This window comes from Homo sapiens, chromosome 10, assembly GCF_000001405.40.
Source record: "Homo sapiens chromosome 10, GRCh38.p14 Primary Assembly".
Lineage (NCBI taxonomy): Eukaryota > Metazoa > Chordata > Mammalia > Primates > Hominidae > Homo > Homo sapiens.
Window position 1 is genome coordinate 28,866,737 of NC_000010.11, and position 16,757 is coordinate 28,883,493.

The window sequence follows — 16,757 nt, forward strand, 5'->3', positions numbered from 1 at the left end:
AAGTAAGATTTGTAACAGTTTGGTGGGAGTAGGGCAGGAAAAAACTTTGCCAAATTGGACTTTCCTTTAAAAGAATCTTTAGAATTAAAACGTTGCCACTAATGATGACATAATATATTGGCAGAAGGAAGATATGCTGGAATGATGTTAAACCTTGCAAGTTCAACGTATTTCTTGGCGGTCTTATGATCATGGACATGGGTTTAGTAAAAAATCGTTCTTGTAATGATTATGGGGAAAATTGTAACCTCGAATATCAGACAGTCTAAATTTAAACATTTCTTTTTATAGGTTTCTGTGATAAATTGTTAATGTAGCACTCCTTAAATAATTGGTTATTAAATATGGCCCTGGGTTGTACAATAAGAATAAATGTAGTATCACTTTAAATAATCTTCGAAAGACTATTATCCCAGATATTTAGTTTTACCAACACAGGACCCTATAAAGACTTGCAGGGCAGACATATTTCCTTTTTTGCAGATTTAAGAAATGTAAGCTTTTGACTTGCCTAAAGCTGAGAACCGCTGGAGTGAGTAGCCAGCTCCTCCTTCCTCTGGATCAGTGCCTACTGTGTTTTGGTGATTGAATAAGATACTTTTGCTTCTGGGTTGCTCTTGAATGAGACCTGAAGCTTTAAAAATATTCTTGGCCAGGGCCGGGCTTGGTGGCTCATGCTTGTAATCCCAGCACTTTGGGAGGCCAAGGTGGGTGGATCACAAGGTCAGGAGATCGAGACCATCCTGGCTAACACGGTGAAACCTTGTCTCTACTGAAAATACAAAAAATTAGCCGGGTGTGGCGGCGGGCACCTGTAGTCCCAGCTACTCAGGAGACTGAGGCAGGGGAATGGTGTGAACCTGGCAGACGGAGGTTGCAGTGAGCCGAGATTGCGCCACTGCACTCCAGCCTGGGTGAAAGAGCAAGACTCTGTCTCAAAAAAAAAAAAAAAAAAGAAAGAAAAAAATTATTGGCCTAGTTTCAGGTTAAAAAAATAATGCATCCTCACTCCTTGCCATTCCGTAGTGAATGAATGCACTATAAATCTTCACTTAACTTTTTTTTTTTTTTTAATTACAACATTTTTTAGAGACAGACAGGTTCTTGCTCTGTTGCCCAGGCTGGAGTACAGTGGTGCAATCATAGCTCACTGCAGCCTCCACCTCCTGGGCTTAAGTGATCATTGACCTTGGCCTCCCGAATAGCTGGGACTATAGGTGTGCACCACCATGCCTGGCTAATTTTTGTTTTTCTTTGTAGATTCAGGACCTTGCTATGTTGCCCAGGCTGGTCTTGAGTTTTTTATCTCAAGCAATTCTCCTGCCATGGCCTCCCAAATCTCTGAGATTATAGGAGTGAGCCACCATGCCTGGCCCTAATTCTTCATTTTAATATATAAAATCTAGGTGCCCTTTTATGTACTATCTGTGGAATTGCCTGGTTCTTTTCATCTGTATTATATTTCCATCTGAGGGGAGTCCTAAGTTGCTACTATGATCAATGAATAATTTATCACTCACCATCATTTATTGAGCATATGCTGAAAACAAGTTGGCAAAGAACCGAGAATGAACTGCAGATATTTAAAGAACTTTTAGAATAATGGAAATTCTTGTAAAAGGGCTTTTGGGGAACTGTCGTTCATTATTAGACAAAAGAGGTTTTGTCTAATAGGCAAAGTATGGAGTTTGGGAGAAAGGTAAGGTGAGGATGTTACTTTGGGAGTCCCCAGCATAGAATCAGTCATCTGGGGTGTGAAAATGGATGGAAAAGAAAAGCTGAGGTCTGAGAACTGTAGTCTAGCGATGCCAGAGTGTAGAGCAGGGCTCCCTTTCTGGCTGCACAGAAGTTTCAAATCATGTAGCCTTGGAATCCAAACTTAGGAAGTGTTCAGGAAAGGGAGATTGTTCAGCAGTGCCAAGCACAGCGGATGCAACAAGTAACACAACATTGGCCATTCATTTTGTGAATGGGGAGGTCGTTTTGATCTTGACAAGGGCGGTTTCTGCGGATTAGTGAAGATGAAAGTCTAAATGGAGTATATATTTTTTAATTTTTATATTTTGAGACAAGGTCTCACTCTGTCACCCAGACTGGAGTGCAGTGGCACGAATGCAGCCCACTGTAGCCTCCACCTCCTGGGCTCAAGTGATCCTGTCTCCTGGGCCTACCAAAGTGCTGGGATTATAGGCATGAGCCATTGCGCCCTGCCTAAATGGAGTATTTTCATGAAAGGATAAGAAAGGAGAAAAGAAAGATGGTCAACACAGATAATTCTTTAGAGAAGTTTTATTACAAAAGGGAACGGAATATAGGAGGTGCATTGAGGGACTTGGAGTTAAGGGATTTTTTTTTTTTTTAAAGATGGTAAAAAGTTGCAGCCTGTTTTTCTGGTTTTGTTTTGTTTTTTTTAGAGACAGGGGCTCTCTTTCTCACCCAGGCTAGAGTGCAGTGGTGGGACCGTAGCTCACTGCAGCCTTGAATGCCTTCACTTAACCGATCCTCCCACCTTAGCTCCCTGAATAGCTGGGACCATAGGTGCACACCACCATGCCCAGCTAATCTTTTCTATATATATGTTTTTTGAGACAGGATCTCACTACATTGCCCAGGCTGAGCTTGAACTCCTGGGCTCAAGCGATCCATCTGCCACGACTCTCAAAGTGCTGGGATTACAGGTGTGAGCTACTGCTCGGCCAAGGTTTTTGATATTATTGTGGCTAATGTCATCAACTCCTCAATATTCACTCCACTACAATGGATTAACCTAAGCCAATCATGGTGACTGTGCAACTCATGCCAACGATGGGTTTTGGAATACATGAGTGACCTCACTTTAGCTGATGGATATGAAAAGAATTCTAACACAAAGGTGGAGAGCTGGCTTGAAGGAGACTTCAGGGAAAAGTTCTAAATTCCTTTACAAACCATTGAAGAAGAGATGATTCCTCCTCTTCTTTCTCTAGATGCTTTTAATTGTGAGGCCTGGTGCTGATTCAGCCATCTTATCTCCAGTCTGTGACCGAGGCTAATACACATGGAGATCAAAGTAGAAAGAAATGCAAAGAAGTGGACCCGGAGCCTGACATATCACGCCTAAGGCAAACCTTCTCTTTAGGCTTTTTGTGATGTGAGCTAACAAATTTCCTTACTTTACAGCCACTTTTAGTTGTGATTTCCTGTTACTCGCACCTGAAAACATCCTACTGATACTGATAAGTCCTGAAACATTGCTCTTCAGAAAGCTGTGTACATGCACACCTTGAAAAGATGTCACAATATGTTGCAATACATCCTTAAATAATAAATACTTACGTTTCAGTAAATCTAAATGCCATTTGGTATAATGAGTGTGTTTGTCAGTAAGACTTTTTGTTAAAATTAGTCTGATCAACTTTTGAGGTGTTGTGTGTATCAGGGGCCCAGTAAGTATTTGCTGGCTACATGTGACTGATGCTGTGGGGAGGGTACCGGGGAGAGGTTTGCTCTGTGGCCTCGGGCCTCAGGGTAGAGGCAGGTTGTGTGAAGCCACTAATGTTGAAGGCAGTGTCACTCTTGATGGATCACATTTTGAAACTAGTTTTTGAATATCTCTTGAATCTTTTCTCTCCATTCCCAGAGAGGCTGCCTTTGTTTACCCCCTTATAATACCTTCACTGGATTCTTGCCAAGACATTCTAACGGTGCTATCCTGAGACTTCCCACTCCTCTGCTACAAGACAGTCTTATTCCTCAGCACTCTCTCCTTGTAGGTTAAGTCCCGTCCAAGATCCTTCCAAGTTCCTTCCTTACAAACATAAGCAATATGGTGCTCTCATTCTTCTGGTTTCCTGGATATTCCTGATATCTCTGCATCTTTGGGTTGCACAGCCTTTGACCTTTGAGCTGGATACAGAAGACATGCACTACAATTTGATGGAGGAATGAATAGGGCAACCCAGCAGTATATGCATGGTTGTCTGTAAAAAAAATTCGGTATGAACTGCTTCAGGACAGAAATGGAAAGCTGGAGGCCTGGGAAGTGAATTATGCCTGCAGGCAAGTTTTCTAAAAAAATGTTTTTTTGTTTTTTGTTTTTTTCACTCTGTTGCCCAGGCTGGAGTGCAGTGGTGCAGTCTCAGCTCACTGCAACCTCCGCCTCCTGGGTTCAAGTGATTCTCCTGCCTCAGCCTCCCGAGTAGCTGGGATTACAGGTGCCCGCCACCACGCCTGGCTAATTTTTGTATTTTTAGTAGAGATGAGGCTTCACCATGTTGGCCAGGCTGGTCTCGAACTCCTGACCTCAAGTGATCCGCCTGCGTTGGCCTCCCAGAGTGTTAGGATTACAGGCGTGAGCCACTGCGCCCAGCCTAAAAAATGTTTTGAACAGGTTGCCGGCATTAAGAAATTGGGAGATTTTATATTAAATCATCTGGATTTCTGGCTTCTTTTGACGTCATTGGGCTCATTCCCAAAGAGCAATAGCCAGTTGGGGCCCACTAGGGTCCCTCCTTCTGGGGGTTCTCAGTTTGACTCATTCTTCGGCCAGCCTTTCTGTTACCTGCGTGGTGCACTCAGCCTTAGCTTTGGGATTGTTCCAGAACTTCCAGTGCTCTGCTCTTACGTGTTCATGGTCCAGGCCTCTGTGGACTGTGTCAGAAGCCATCACTGCCCTAGTTTGGGGATCAAAAGCTCCATTATACATTTGTCCTTTGGTGCCCAAATGCCTCCTTGTTTCCTGCAACAAGCCAAAATTTGGAAACCTGGTTTCTGATTAGAGCTCAGCCTTCTTTTGAAGTCTCTCACTTTTCTTAATTCTTCTCACTTTTCAGAGTGTCAGCGTCCTTATTTGTAAAATACATTATCTGGACAGATGAGTTGTGAGGTCGTGGACTGTATGTGGTTATTGTGAATTTATTCTGAGACGTGTCTGCATGTTATGTGTCCCTTAGTTGAAGGGTACAGGGCTGGTGGGGAGCGTACTCTATCTAGCAGGACCTTTGCCTGACGTGGGGGATAATGGCCTATTTCCCTCCTGTCAAACCTGAAGCCTAGGGAATTTCTGAAATACTGAAACCCACTCCTTTGGCTTATGGCTCCGTGTAAGCTGTAAAACACACACTCAACACTTGATACATTTCATTACGATGAAAGGACTCTCAAGTGCAAGTGACAGAGTATGTTGACCTACAGTTAGGGGCATTACACTGTGCTTGACTGTCTTCAGAAGAATTTTGCCCAGTTGTGGCTTTAACTTGACATCCAGACAACAAAGCTCCCTGATCACATTTAATAAGAAAATTTAATAACCCCTTATTGAGTATTTCTGCTGCCCCCATAGATTAACCTTTAACAAATGAAGTTTTCATTGCCACACAGCCTCAAGAATGTTCTCTCTGTGATGAATGTGTCTAAATTTGTGTGGACATGAAGACTCTGGAGGCTGGGAAAGTCCCATTGTGTGTGGAGAAGTTCCCAGGGAGCCAGCTCCAGTGGAATTGATGTCACCAAGACACTAGGAATGACTTCCAGGGCCCACAGCCTCCTAATCACACTCATCCACACTAAATTACAACATATAGGAGAAACCCATTTCTCCGGGTATTTAAATACTAGACACACATAAGCAGCCAAATAATTTCCCCAAGATTTTTCAATACATGGTCATCTATTTAAAAATGGAATGATGGACCGGGTGTGCTAGCTCACACCTGTAATCTCAGCACTCATGGCGGGAAGATCGCTTGAGCCTAGGAGTTCGAGAATAGCCTGGGTAATATAGCAAGACCCCATCTCTGCTAAAGATAAAAAAAAAAATAGCTAGACATGGTGGTGTGTGCCTGTAGTCGCTGCTACATGGGAGGCTGTTGTGGGAGGATAGCCTGAGCCCAGGACTTTGAGGCTGCAGTGAGCTATGATTGTGCCACTGCACTCTAGCCTGAGTGATGGAGTGAGCCCCTGTCTCGAAAAATAAAATAAAAATCGAACAATGGGTTACTGTGGGTCACAGCAGCACAGCAGTTGTTGGGAGGTGTCCGTGATAATGTGATGCGACAGTTGGTGTTGTCATGGAGACTAATCCACATTATATGGACAAGAAAAAGAGTCAAAAAATGTCAGTATTTTATTTTGTGAATGCCTTATAAGCATTATGAAACAATGCTTATTTGCCATTTAGCAGGAGATACTCTAGATGTACAAGCTTGAAGAGAATTTGAAAGAAAGAACTGATAACACCGCAGGATCTTTCCCAAGAGCTGTTGCATCACTGTTTCCTGGGGTTTAACTGGATGATATCACAACAAATCCTTCTACATGATTTTGTCATACTGCTCCCTGTAGATCAGAGAAATTTTGATTTACAATCATTTTTATTTATGATTATGAATGATGGTTTTGAAGATCTTTTAAGGCAATGAATGTGTAATGGAAATTTCTATTCCTTTCAGGTTATGCTGGATAAGTACACAGCTTGAATTATGTTTAGTCTCTATTATTTAAGGTTTAATTAATGTCGTGATTTTTTTTTTTCATTTTCAGGTAAGCCTAGAATTGTACGATTGGAACTCAATGACGGTAAGTACTTATTACACACCACAGTGTATTTGCATGATATATGATATATTTTTATTAACTGAAAAAGTTTTCTAGTATATATATATATATATACACACACACATACACACACACGTGTACTTAACACTTACTTATTCTAACGAAACTTTATGTTCCTTATTATATACTATACCTTATGTGCTCAAAGTGCCTTTTTGCACCCTTGGATCTGTTTGAAATCAAGATTTCTGGCTTGTAGATGTATTTTTAACTGGGAACAGATGAGCCCCTGGCCACCCGGGTGAATTATTTGGGACTGTGGTGTGTGCCACTCTGGCACTTTGCACCCTATGTGTTTCTTCTGCTTCCCTAGGGAGGTGATTGGTGAGTCTTAGGGAGGGGCCAGGACAAAGGTCCTGTGGCCTGGGGAGGACAGGTTATAGTTTAAGCTAACACCCTGTACATGCTAGGAAGTCACCAAGGAAGGAGGTGGCCTTGTCCCCCGGGGGAGTTTACACTTGTGTGCCTGTGGCTTGTGACGTACCCAGGGTAACTGCAGAGACTGGCTAGGTCCTGGAGCAGTCTCACCTTTTAAATTTTAAGTTAATTATTACTTCTTGAAAGGAAGTTTCCCTGTGTTGTGCAGGCTGGCCTCGACCTCCTGGGCTCAAATGATCCCCTAGTCTCAAGTGATCCTCAGGCTGAGATGACAGTAGCTGGGACGACAGGCATGGGCCACTGTACTAATCCTTTTTCATACTGCTATGAAGAAATACCTGAGACTGGGTAATTCACAGGAAAAAAAAGAGGTTTAATGGACTCACAGCTCCACATGGCTGGGGAGGCCTCATAATCATGGGGGAAGGTGAAAGAGGAGCAAAGTCATGTCTTACATGGCAGCAGGCAGGAGAGGGGGTGCAGGGGAACTCCCCTTTATAAAACCATCAGATCTCATGAGACTTGTTCACTATCACAAGAACAGTATGAGAAAAACCCATCCCCATTATTCAATTACCTCCCATCAGGTCCCTCCCATGACATGTGGGGATGATGAGAACTACAATTGAAGATGGGATTTGGGTAGGGACACAGCCAAACCATATCAGCCACTGTGCCCGGCCAAGCCTACAGCACCCAGTATTTCCAGGTGGTCTCCCATCCAAATACTAACCAGGCCCAAACCTGCTTAGCTTCTGAGTTTGGATGAGATCAGGTGCATTATCTTCAAGATGTAATATTTGCACCATCAATTCTAGCTTCTACACAATGTGCAGGGACATTGAATAGATCTTGTCCAAATCCCAGTTTTTCTCTGTCAAGCATTGCCTCATCCCATAGTAGGAATGAGATAGAGAACATAATGCCATGGTTCAACCACCCTAGAGTGACAGAAAAATGAGATGGGTGGAGATAAATACTACTACAAAAGCTCTCCTGTTTCCTAAGCGCTCAGCATTCTATAGCAGGTGGAAATAAAATGGGCATCTATTCTGGACTCCAATGTTACCTTGTCCAGGACTTTGTGACTGTCATCGAGGCATGACTACATACCTGTGTCCAGTTAACAACCAAAATAAGAGCAATGTCTCCTTCCGATCTCCACTTCCCCTACTTGGAGGATGTGTGTGGGGGGGGAAAGATTGCCTGCTGAACCTCCACACACCTTTGGACCCCAACATCCCCCTCAACTTTGCACTTGCTGTTTCAGGTCAGTTAAGCTGATATTAATGTTCCTTCTCATCTATTCCCCTCCCTTTTTGATGTAAAAACAAAAACAAAAACAAAAAACTTTCATTCCCTTGTTTAAGGCCAGATGCCATGAATGAAGAGGGCTGGTTAACAGTGAATATGTGGCACAGTGGCTTATGCCTGTAATCCCAGCACTTTGGGAGGCCGAGGCAGGAGGATCACCTGAGGTCAGGGATTCGAGACCAGCCTTGACCACATGGCGAAACCCTGTCTCTACTAAAAATACAAAAATTAGCCAGGCGTGGTGGCAGGCACCTGTAGTCCCAGCTACTGGGGAGGCTGAGGCAGGAGAATCACTTGAACCTGGGAGATGGATGTTGCAGTGAGCAGAGATCGTGCCATTGTTCTCCAGCCTGGGTGACAGAGTGAGACTCCGTCAAAACAAAACAAAACAAAACAAAACAAAAAAAACCCCAGTGAATATGCATGAGGGAGAAGCTTTACTATCCTGTGAATAAAAGGAAATGTGTTCTGAAGGCATCAGGTAACTTACCTTTGAATCTCTGGGACATTGTCACAGGACTGTGGGGCGTTTAAGCCCAGAAAGAATTGTCTGAGATTATTAAACGAAGGAGTCCCGCATTCATGGTGACTCAACCTGTTAGCAGTTCCTTTCTTCTGGGATCCAGCCTGTTGCGGCCTCTTTAGTATCAGCAGTGGCTGTGCAGAACATTGCCAAGCCCTTAGCAACCTATTCAGCAGCTCTGTGGGGATGGCTGGGGAGCCCCAGGTTTGCAAATGCAACGGCGAGTCAGCCTGGAAAGTCGGCACCACGGTGCCCTCTCCCTGCCAGGCTCCTTCCAAGAAATTCCCAGCTACCCTGCTGTTTATTAAACAGCTCAGTAAAGAAAGCACAGGGGGCAAAACAGCCATCCTACATGAGCAGAAGGCATTCACAAGTTGCCAGAGTGATTTTGTCTGAGTGTTCGGCCTGGAGGTGGCTGAAAGAGCAATAATGAAACAGAATGGGCGGTCCGAGCGGACATGAAACAGCGATTACACGGTAGGTATTTCTTTGTAGTTAGGCACTCTCTTTGCCAGCATGAAACTCAACTTGAACTTACTCAACAGTTTAAAGTCAGGGATTCCAGAGACTTAGCTTTGGAAAACACGTGAAGAAATGTTCGGGGGCAATGCTGAAATTTACAAGGCTGATGCGAAAGATCGCATGTGTGAATGGAAATGCTTTATCATTATGGATTTATCTTCTAATGATGCATGCTTGTAAAGCAGTATCCTGAAGCAATGGCGATATTAAAATACATAAAAAATTATCAATAATTTTATACACACACACATCCAAAATCAGCTACATTTTTACAGATTAGCTATTTAACTGGTCAAGGGCAGTTAGGCTTAATTAATGTGAACTTAGCCACTAAAGTTAATAAATTCTCCCATGGGAGCTATGAATCGAGAGGGTGAAAGGAAGTTGTCTATTTAATAGCTAATTAAATCACTAGTGTTTTCCGACAGTATCATTTTCTGGGTTTTGCAAGCTAACAAGGAAGCATCACTTTGATTTTTTTTTTAAATCGAGAAGATTTAAGACAATTTTTGCTCTGTAAAGCAACAAAAAAAAATAATTCATATAGACTTCATGGAAGATTTGTTTGTTTGTTTTTAAAAAAACCTTAACTATTATAAGTATTTCCCTAGTTGCCTGTAATCTAAAAAGTCAAGACATTTGCTATTGGATTAACAATGCTTTGACCGACTAACATACTGATTTTGAGTTATTATTTCCGCTAAGATGAAAGAAAGTTTCATAAAGAAGGCAGTGAAAACCCAGGATCCCTGGCCCCCAGGGTGGTTTTGTGGTAATGAGTTAAGAGGTTAGGGAGCTTTAATCAGTGACTTTGGCATCTTTACTCAATATATGAAAGAATTACGAAGGTTCCTTAGGTACTGAACTTCCTCCCAAGGAGGGAGCTTAAAACTCAAAAACTTAAGGATTTAAGTGCATTGATTAAAATTCAGTTGTGAGAGAAGGGAGAATTCTTGTTTGAGAATTCCCTGCAAAATCATTTGATAATCACTATAAGACTTTCTTACAACACTTTATGGAGGTAAATTTAAACATAGTAAAGTGAAAAAATCTAAGGCAAAAAATGTGATGACTTTTATACATATGCTTACAACCACGTGACTACCACACAGTTCCGTGTTCCTCAGCTGAGTGCGATTCTAGTCTTTAAGAGAAGGTTTTTGTTCTGCTTGTTTTTTTTTTTTTCTTTTTAACAGCCTGGCACTTAAAGTGGGCCAAATATTTCACCAGGTATAGTCAGCTGTAGAACTAGTGATCTTGTCCAATGCTGTAAGAAAAATAGGCTGTGATTAAACTTGTTAAGTAATAATGGTTTACTGGGGCTGGGCACAGTGGCTCACGCCTGTAATCCCAGCACTTTGGGAGGCCGAGGCAGGTAGATTACCTGAGGTCAGGAGTTTGAGACCAGCCTGGCCAACATGGTGAAACCCCATCTCTACTAAAAATGCCAAATTAGCTGGCGTGGTCGCGCATACCTGTAATCCCAGCTACTCGGGAGGCTGAGGCAGGAGAATTGCTGGAACCCAGGAGGTGGAGGTTGCAGTGAGCCAAGATCGTGCCATTGCATGCCAGCCTGGGCAACAAGAGCAAAACTCCATCTCAAAAAAAAAAAAAAAAAAAAAGAAGAAGTAATGGTTTATTGGACTTGATTTTGGTACCTCCTTGAAAGATTTTGAAGAGCAATTTTGAGCATGTGAATTTTTGCAATGAGAGATTATTTTACTCCTTCCTAAGATAGGATTCCCCTATAGTCTCAGAACAAAGGATAGTTCTTTGAATAGTATATTTCAGCCTTAGGGAATCACATTTTAGTACTTCATTTTATAGTGGGTGGATGAAAATTTCATTATGGGTGTTCATCAATTCTCATAATTTAAAATCGTAAATTAAAAATCACTAACTTAAAAGGGTTTAATGTCTCCATTGTGGAAGGCATTTGGGATCTTGGCATTTGAGTTAGTTTCCTGACCCAAAGGCTCAGACAGTGGAAGTATCATTTCCCTAGTCTCCAGCATTCTTTAAAAACAGAATTACAAGAGATAATATATGCAGTGCCTGGCACACAGCAGTGGGGAGAGCAAATGTAAACTCTTTCCTCTTTCCTCACAATCCTTCTCCTCCTTGATTCCACTTCTAAATGTCACAGCTGAGTACTGGTAGCTGTGAATAGATCAAGAGATGTCAGACAGTGGAGACAGGTGAATCTTGAGTTAAGGCGGAGATGAGGGTGAGGTGTTGGTGGAGAACATAGGTAGGTTCAGGGTCTAGAAGGTGAGTTGGTCTGGTGTCCTGAAATATAAACCTTGTTGACAAACACAGGCAAGAGAAGGTCCAAGTGATGAGAGTTGATGTTAAGGACCAGTGGATATTGGGAAACAGTTGAGCAATGGCTATTAGTTGAGCACAATCATTCCATTCAATTCAACAAACATTTATGGAGTCCTTTCTATGTGCAACTAAATGCTCTAAGATTTCTGAGTTAGGAACAGCCTAGCATGTGGCAAGTATAATTGATGGCTGATTGCCGACCTTGGGCAAAGACAATCAATCTCTGCTCTGGCTTGAGTAATCTGGTTTGGGTAGATAAGGATCACAGTGAGCACTGTGTTGGGGGAGGGTGTAGAGTGGGGGGTGACACATTTCTGCATGTGCTGATGGTTGCAACCAAAGACAGGGCTTCTGAGAGACCTACGTTGTAAATGTTCCATCTTGTTGGGCTGTTCCCATTTGTATCTGTCTCCCTCTGGTGCTAGATTTTTTTGGTTTTATGTGTTTCTAAAACAGAATCCGGTCAATTCCCTCTGAGGTCTTCAACTGGAGTTTGAGTTGGGAGGGCCATGCTGTGTAGGGTTTGGAGCCACGTGGGGCCTGCCAGCCCTATTAAGTTGCATTCTTTTGAAGTGTGTATCTCCCCTTGCACCAGCCCTGTTCCCCACCTGTGAAGCAGCTTTTGACTTCCATATATTATGGAATATTATGCACATAAGAGAAAAGAGCTTCATTTTATTTTCTGTTTTTTTCCATACTTCATCAACAATTAACCATGTTAGAAAAAGTAGAGCTGAAATAATCCCATCAGGAATTGGCACTGGGTTTCTGGAAAACTTAGTCCTAACCACCTCTTTTATTTAGTGTGTTTGTCTAGGAATTGAGAAAAGCTTGAGTGTTGGTTTATCTTATGTTTCCAACTAAGAGTAATTTCATAAATACTAGAAACCTTGCAGGGAAAAAACCTATTTTCATAAAATGATTAATGCACTAGGCAAGGGAAATTTGAATGAGGCACTAGGCAAGAGAAATTTGAATGAGTGGAAACTAGAATTGGGCTCCTTGATCTTTTTCTGCATGCAGCACTTTTTTTTATTTGGAAGCAATCCCCAAAGTTTGGAAATCTGTTTAGGTTATGAAACCCAGTATTCAGATGACTGTCACATCTTCATTAAACAAAACAAAACACAATTTTGTGCCTTCTGAACTGAAGAGTTCCCTCTATGTTGTAGGGGATGTGATGGGCTCTCCAGCCTATGAATATAGGATCTAACTGCACACACCCCTTTATGCTGAGAGGCCTCCCAGTTATAAGGCTGATGTTGTTTTTTATGACAAGAAACTATTTGCAAAATTTGATTTAGGAACCAATTAGCTAAATTTAAGATTATGAAAATGAACCAGAAAGAGAAGCCTCTGATAAACAACTTCGGCTATTGGGAGGCGGACCCCTCACATCCCATGGGGCCTCCAATCAGAGGCCTCGAGAGAATCGCTAGGAAGCCTGAAAGTGGGTGAGGCCTGGGCCACTGGAGACTGCTCCTGGCCCCTGGCCTTCTTCCACTTTGGAAGAGACCATCCTGTCCTGGAAACGTGCTCCGTGGTGACACCACGGCGCAGGGTTGGCCTTCTGGAGTCCATGTCTCTGGAAGCCGCATCCACATCCCGCTTCCTGGTCCACACTGAGTGAGGCTGGGAGAGGGTTTCCAGGGGCACTTCCGTTTCAGCTTGTTTCTATTTTAATGCCTGGAGACAATTAAAGACCAATGTCTGGTGCCAGTATTTTTTTTTTTTTCCCACAGTTCACGCTATTCTTAGAAACAGTTGAGCCAGTGGCGGTGGAGTCTGAAGGCTCTGGAATCTTTTCCTTCGTGTGGCAGCAACTTATTTTTCCTGCGGAGGCTCGGTGGTGCTTTTCTTGGGCTCAGGATTGCGGCTTGGATGGCTCATTCCCTGGGAGTGCACACACTGAGCCCTTTGGAAAGGCAGCAGCAGGACAAGGATCAGTGGCAGGCAAAGAGGCAAAAAAAGCAGGACCCGGGTTCCATAGGCAACTGCTTTATTTACAGTTCCAAAAACGGTGCTTGTTCAACTATCCTGAACTTTTGTAGAAGTTCAAACTTGGAAATTGTAGTGATGAAATGAGAGCTGTGTTTTAAAAATTACTTTTAACTGTCTATGAAGCAAGTCTACATTTTGGCAAAATGGGCTGCTTTTAATCTGGTCATGTGGGATTTAAAAAAAGATTTAATTCAGCTGGATTTTGCAAAGCCCTTGCATTGTATGACATGAGGTTATTTAAGGTATAGTTTTGTCTTCAAAGAGAAGAAATAAGACACACGCATGGATTTTTAGAGTAAAAATAACGAGAGAATGTTATTACCCAAGAGCATATATTAGCTCACTTGCAGTGATGTTGAACTGGGAACATTCCAGAAGGATTCCACGTGAAGCAGTGTTTGCATTTGTATGTTTGAAATGCTCCATAACAAAATTGAAAAACTGTAAGAGCAAAATAAATAATAATACGGATTATGAAGTAATTAAAATGAAGCAGAGAAAAAACCTGTAGGATGCAGCCTAAATAAATGATACTTTAAATCAAGCTTATCCAACCCGTGTCTTGTAGGCCACAATGTGGCCTAGGACATATTTGAATGCGGCCCAACACAAATTCGTAAACTTTCTTAAAATATTGTGAGACTTTTTTTTTTTTTTTAGTTCATCAGCTATCATTAGTGTTAGTGTATTTTACGTGTGGCCCAAGACAATTCTTCTTCTTCTGATGTGGCCCAGGGAAGCCAAAAGACTGGCCACCTCTGGTTCAAATAAACATTTACAGCCTCAGTCACATATATTAGAAAATGAAAAAGACTGAAAAATTTGCCAGCTACTTGCTTGACACAGTACAACAGAAAAACAACAGCAAAGCAAGCAGAAAGAAGGCAGAAGAAGGAAGGAAACCATAAAGATAAGGAGAGCAATTAATGAGCTAGAAAACAAAGTAATAATGCAGAAATCAACCCAACTAAAAGCCGGTTCCTTGAAAAGAGTGATAAAGCCATCTCTGGCAAGAATGACCAAGGACGAGAGAAGAAAAAGCATGAAAAAGAAACAGAGCATAACTACTGATGGAGATTTTAAAGCCTGTAAGAGAATACTATGGACAAGTTCCTGACAATACATTTGGAAACAGAGAAATCAGACAATCTCCTAGAAAAATATTAATTACAAAAACTGATGAAAGAAAAAGCTGGAATATACCTATAATCAACAAAAGAAGTGAATCAAGTTAATAATCTACAGCCTTCCTTCCCCGGATGCCTCCCTCTCCAAAAAACAGGCCAGACACAGCCAAGTTTACAAAATCTTCAAAGAACAGATAAGCACTACTTTGTATAAACTTTTTCAAAGAATAGAAAAAGGACAACTTCCCACATCATTTTGTATGCATAACCTTGATAATAAAACTGAACAAATAAAATAGAGTGTAGCAAAATTATAGGTCATTGTTAATTATGAAATGAGTGTAATGATCTTAAATAAAATATTAGTAAACCAAATCTATCAAAATATTTAAATAATACATTTTTGACCAGTTAGTGTTTATCCTAATGTGGCAGGATGGTTTACATTAGGAAATCTTTTTAATGTAATTCACCACATCTGTACGTTTAAAGATGTTCAAATGTTACTATATATTGCTTACAGTTTTATGTCTGTAAAATATAAAAATATAGTCAATTACTGTCTATCTCTGGTGATGGAGAGTAAACAATGAAATGGGGATGCTTTAGCTGGCACTAAAATATTTTCTTTCTCAAAAAATAAAAAGGTAACTAAAGGAAAGATAGTGTTAAGGATAATACTTCTTAGATCTAGTGGATGAACCCCTTGGTCATTGTCATTGTTTTCATTTCTTCTGAATTGCTGAGATATTACACAACTAAACATATTTGAGAAAAAAAGAGAAAAGGGCAAAATCTGGAACTTAGATTATATCTAGCACTGTTCTATTGATATATTTCATTTATATTAATTTATGCACTAAATGAATGTTTCTACTAAAAATACAAAAATTAGCTGGGCATGGTGGCACATGCCTGTAATCCCAGCTACTTGGGAGGCTGAGGCAGGAGAATTGCCTGAACCTGGGAGGCAGAGATTGCAGTGAGCTAAGATCATGCCTCTGCTATAATAGATTATCTGATATAATAGATTATCTCTTCCATTTAAAGTTTTTTCTTAATTAATCTCCAGCCCTACCGTTATTGATGTGTCTCCATCCAGTGTTTGCCAAAACTAAAATTGATTCACTGGCACCTTTCTGTCTGTCCCTTCCAACTCTCTCCTCACCCGCAAGCCAAGAATGTTGCCAGCCAAAGTTCTGCAATTGACAGGTTTGTTGGTAATGGTGGGTCTGGGGTATTTTTCTGCTCCCGCCCGCTAGTGTGGACTCAGACCCTGGGTCCACCTTCACACTGACTTTCTTAGGACTTAGGAGGGAGAAATACCCTCAACCTTGGGGCTAATGATGTGACCCTTGCTCAGCGACTCTAAAACCGCAAATACTCTTCTAGCCAAGGTCAGAGGTCAGCTACCCATGGGGGACAGGAGGGCAGCAGAATGGACACCATAATTGGATAAATCTGTTAAATTTTCATATTCCCCATTTATTTGCTGTTCATTTAGGCAACATCTGCTCTCTGTTTCTCAGCCTATTCACAATTGTGAATTTACAATTCACAGCCTATTACCACTATCATCCCCAAGTCTCTCCGCGTTTAATAGTTCAACACACACTTACTCAGGGTACCGAGGTCCAGATATGAGGGCTGGCACTGAAAATTTCATGGAGAGTAAGACCTATGCCTAGCCCTGGCGAAGATTTCTCTTTTATGGGTGAGAAAGACGCACACTGGAGGTAGAAACCATCTGAGCTACTTTGTTCTTTAGACGTTTCTGGTTTATGTTCTTTTTACATCTTAGTTCAATTCCAGCTTTCTTGTGAAGATTTCCCAGATTTGTCTCCTCTGGGTTCAAATATACATATCCATGTTGTTACCAGGCATTAGATCTGGCACTTAGCCCCTCCCTGCATTGTCTGGGGAAAGACCACAGACATAGACAAAATAACCTGGGTCTGGTCCCTGATCCA

General features: G+C 41.7%; 1 long non-coding RNA gene and 1 pseudogene across 1 annotated transcript in view, besides 1 other annotated feature; one reads left to right on the forward strand and one right to left on the reverse strand.

Moving 5' to 3' along the window:
* The window catches only part of C10orf126 (chromosome 10 open reading frame 126), a 35,491-nt gene extending 20,329 nt beyond the window's left edge, over positions 1-15,162 (forward strand). The window contains exons 4-5 of the long non-coding RNA NR_164114.1: positions 6,520-6,555; positions 13,402-15,162. This is a non-coding gene — a long non-coding RNA (chromosome 10 open reading frame 126). The remainder of the gene's footprint in view (positions 1-6,519; positions 6,556-13,401) is intronic.
* On the reverse strand, positions 7,657-7,771 carry RNA5SP308 (RNA, 5S ribosomal pseudogene 308; annotated as a pseudogene).
* Positions 13,274-13,494: an enhancer, noted in NCBI's record as "heart enhancer 23". NCBI's record gives its function as "activates a minimal c-fos promoter by transgenic reporter assays in zebrafish embryonic heart {active_cell/tissue: heart(embryonic)}" and the evidence as "EXISTENCE:transgenic organism evidence [ECO:0001131][PMID:20075146]".
* Positions 15,163-16,757: the final 1,595 nt, after the last annotated feature.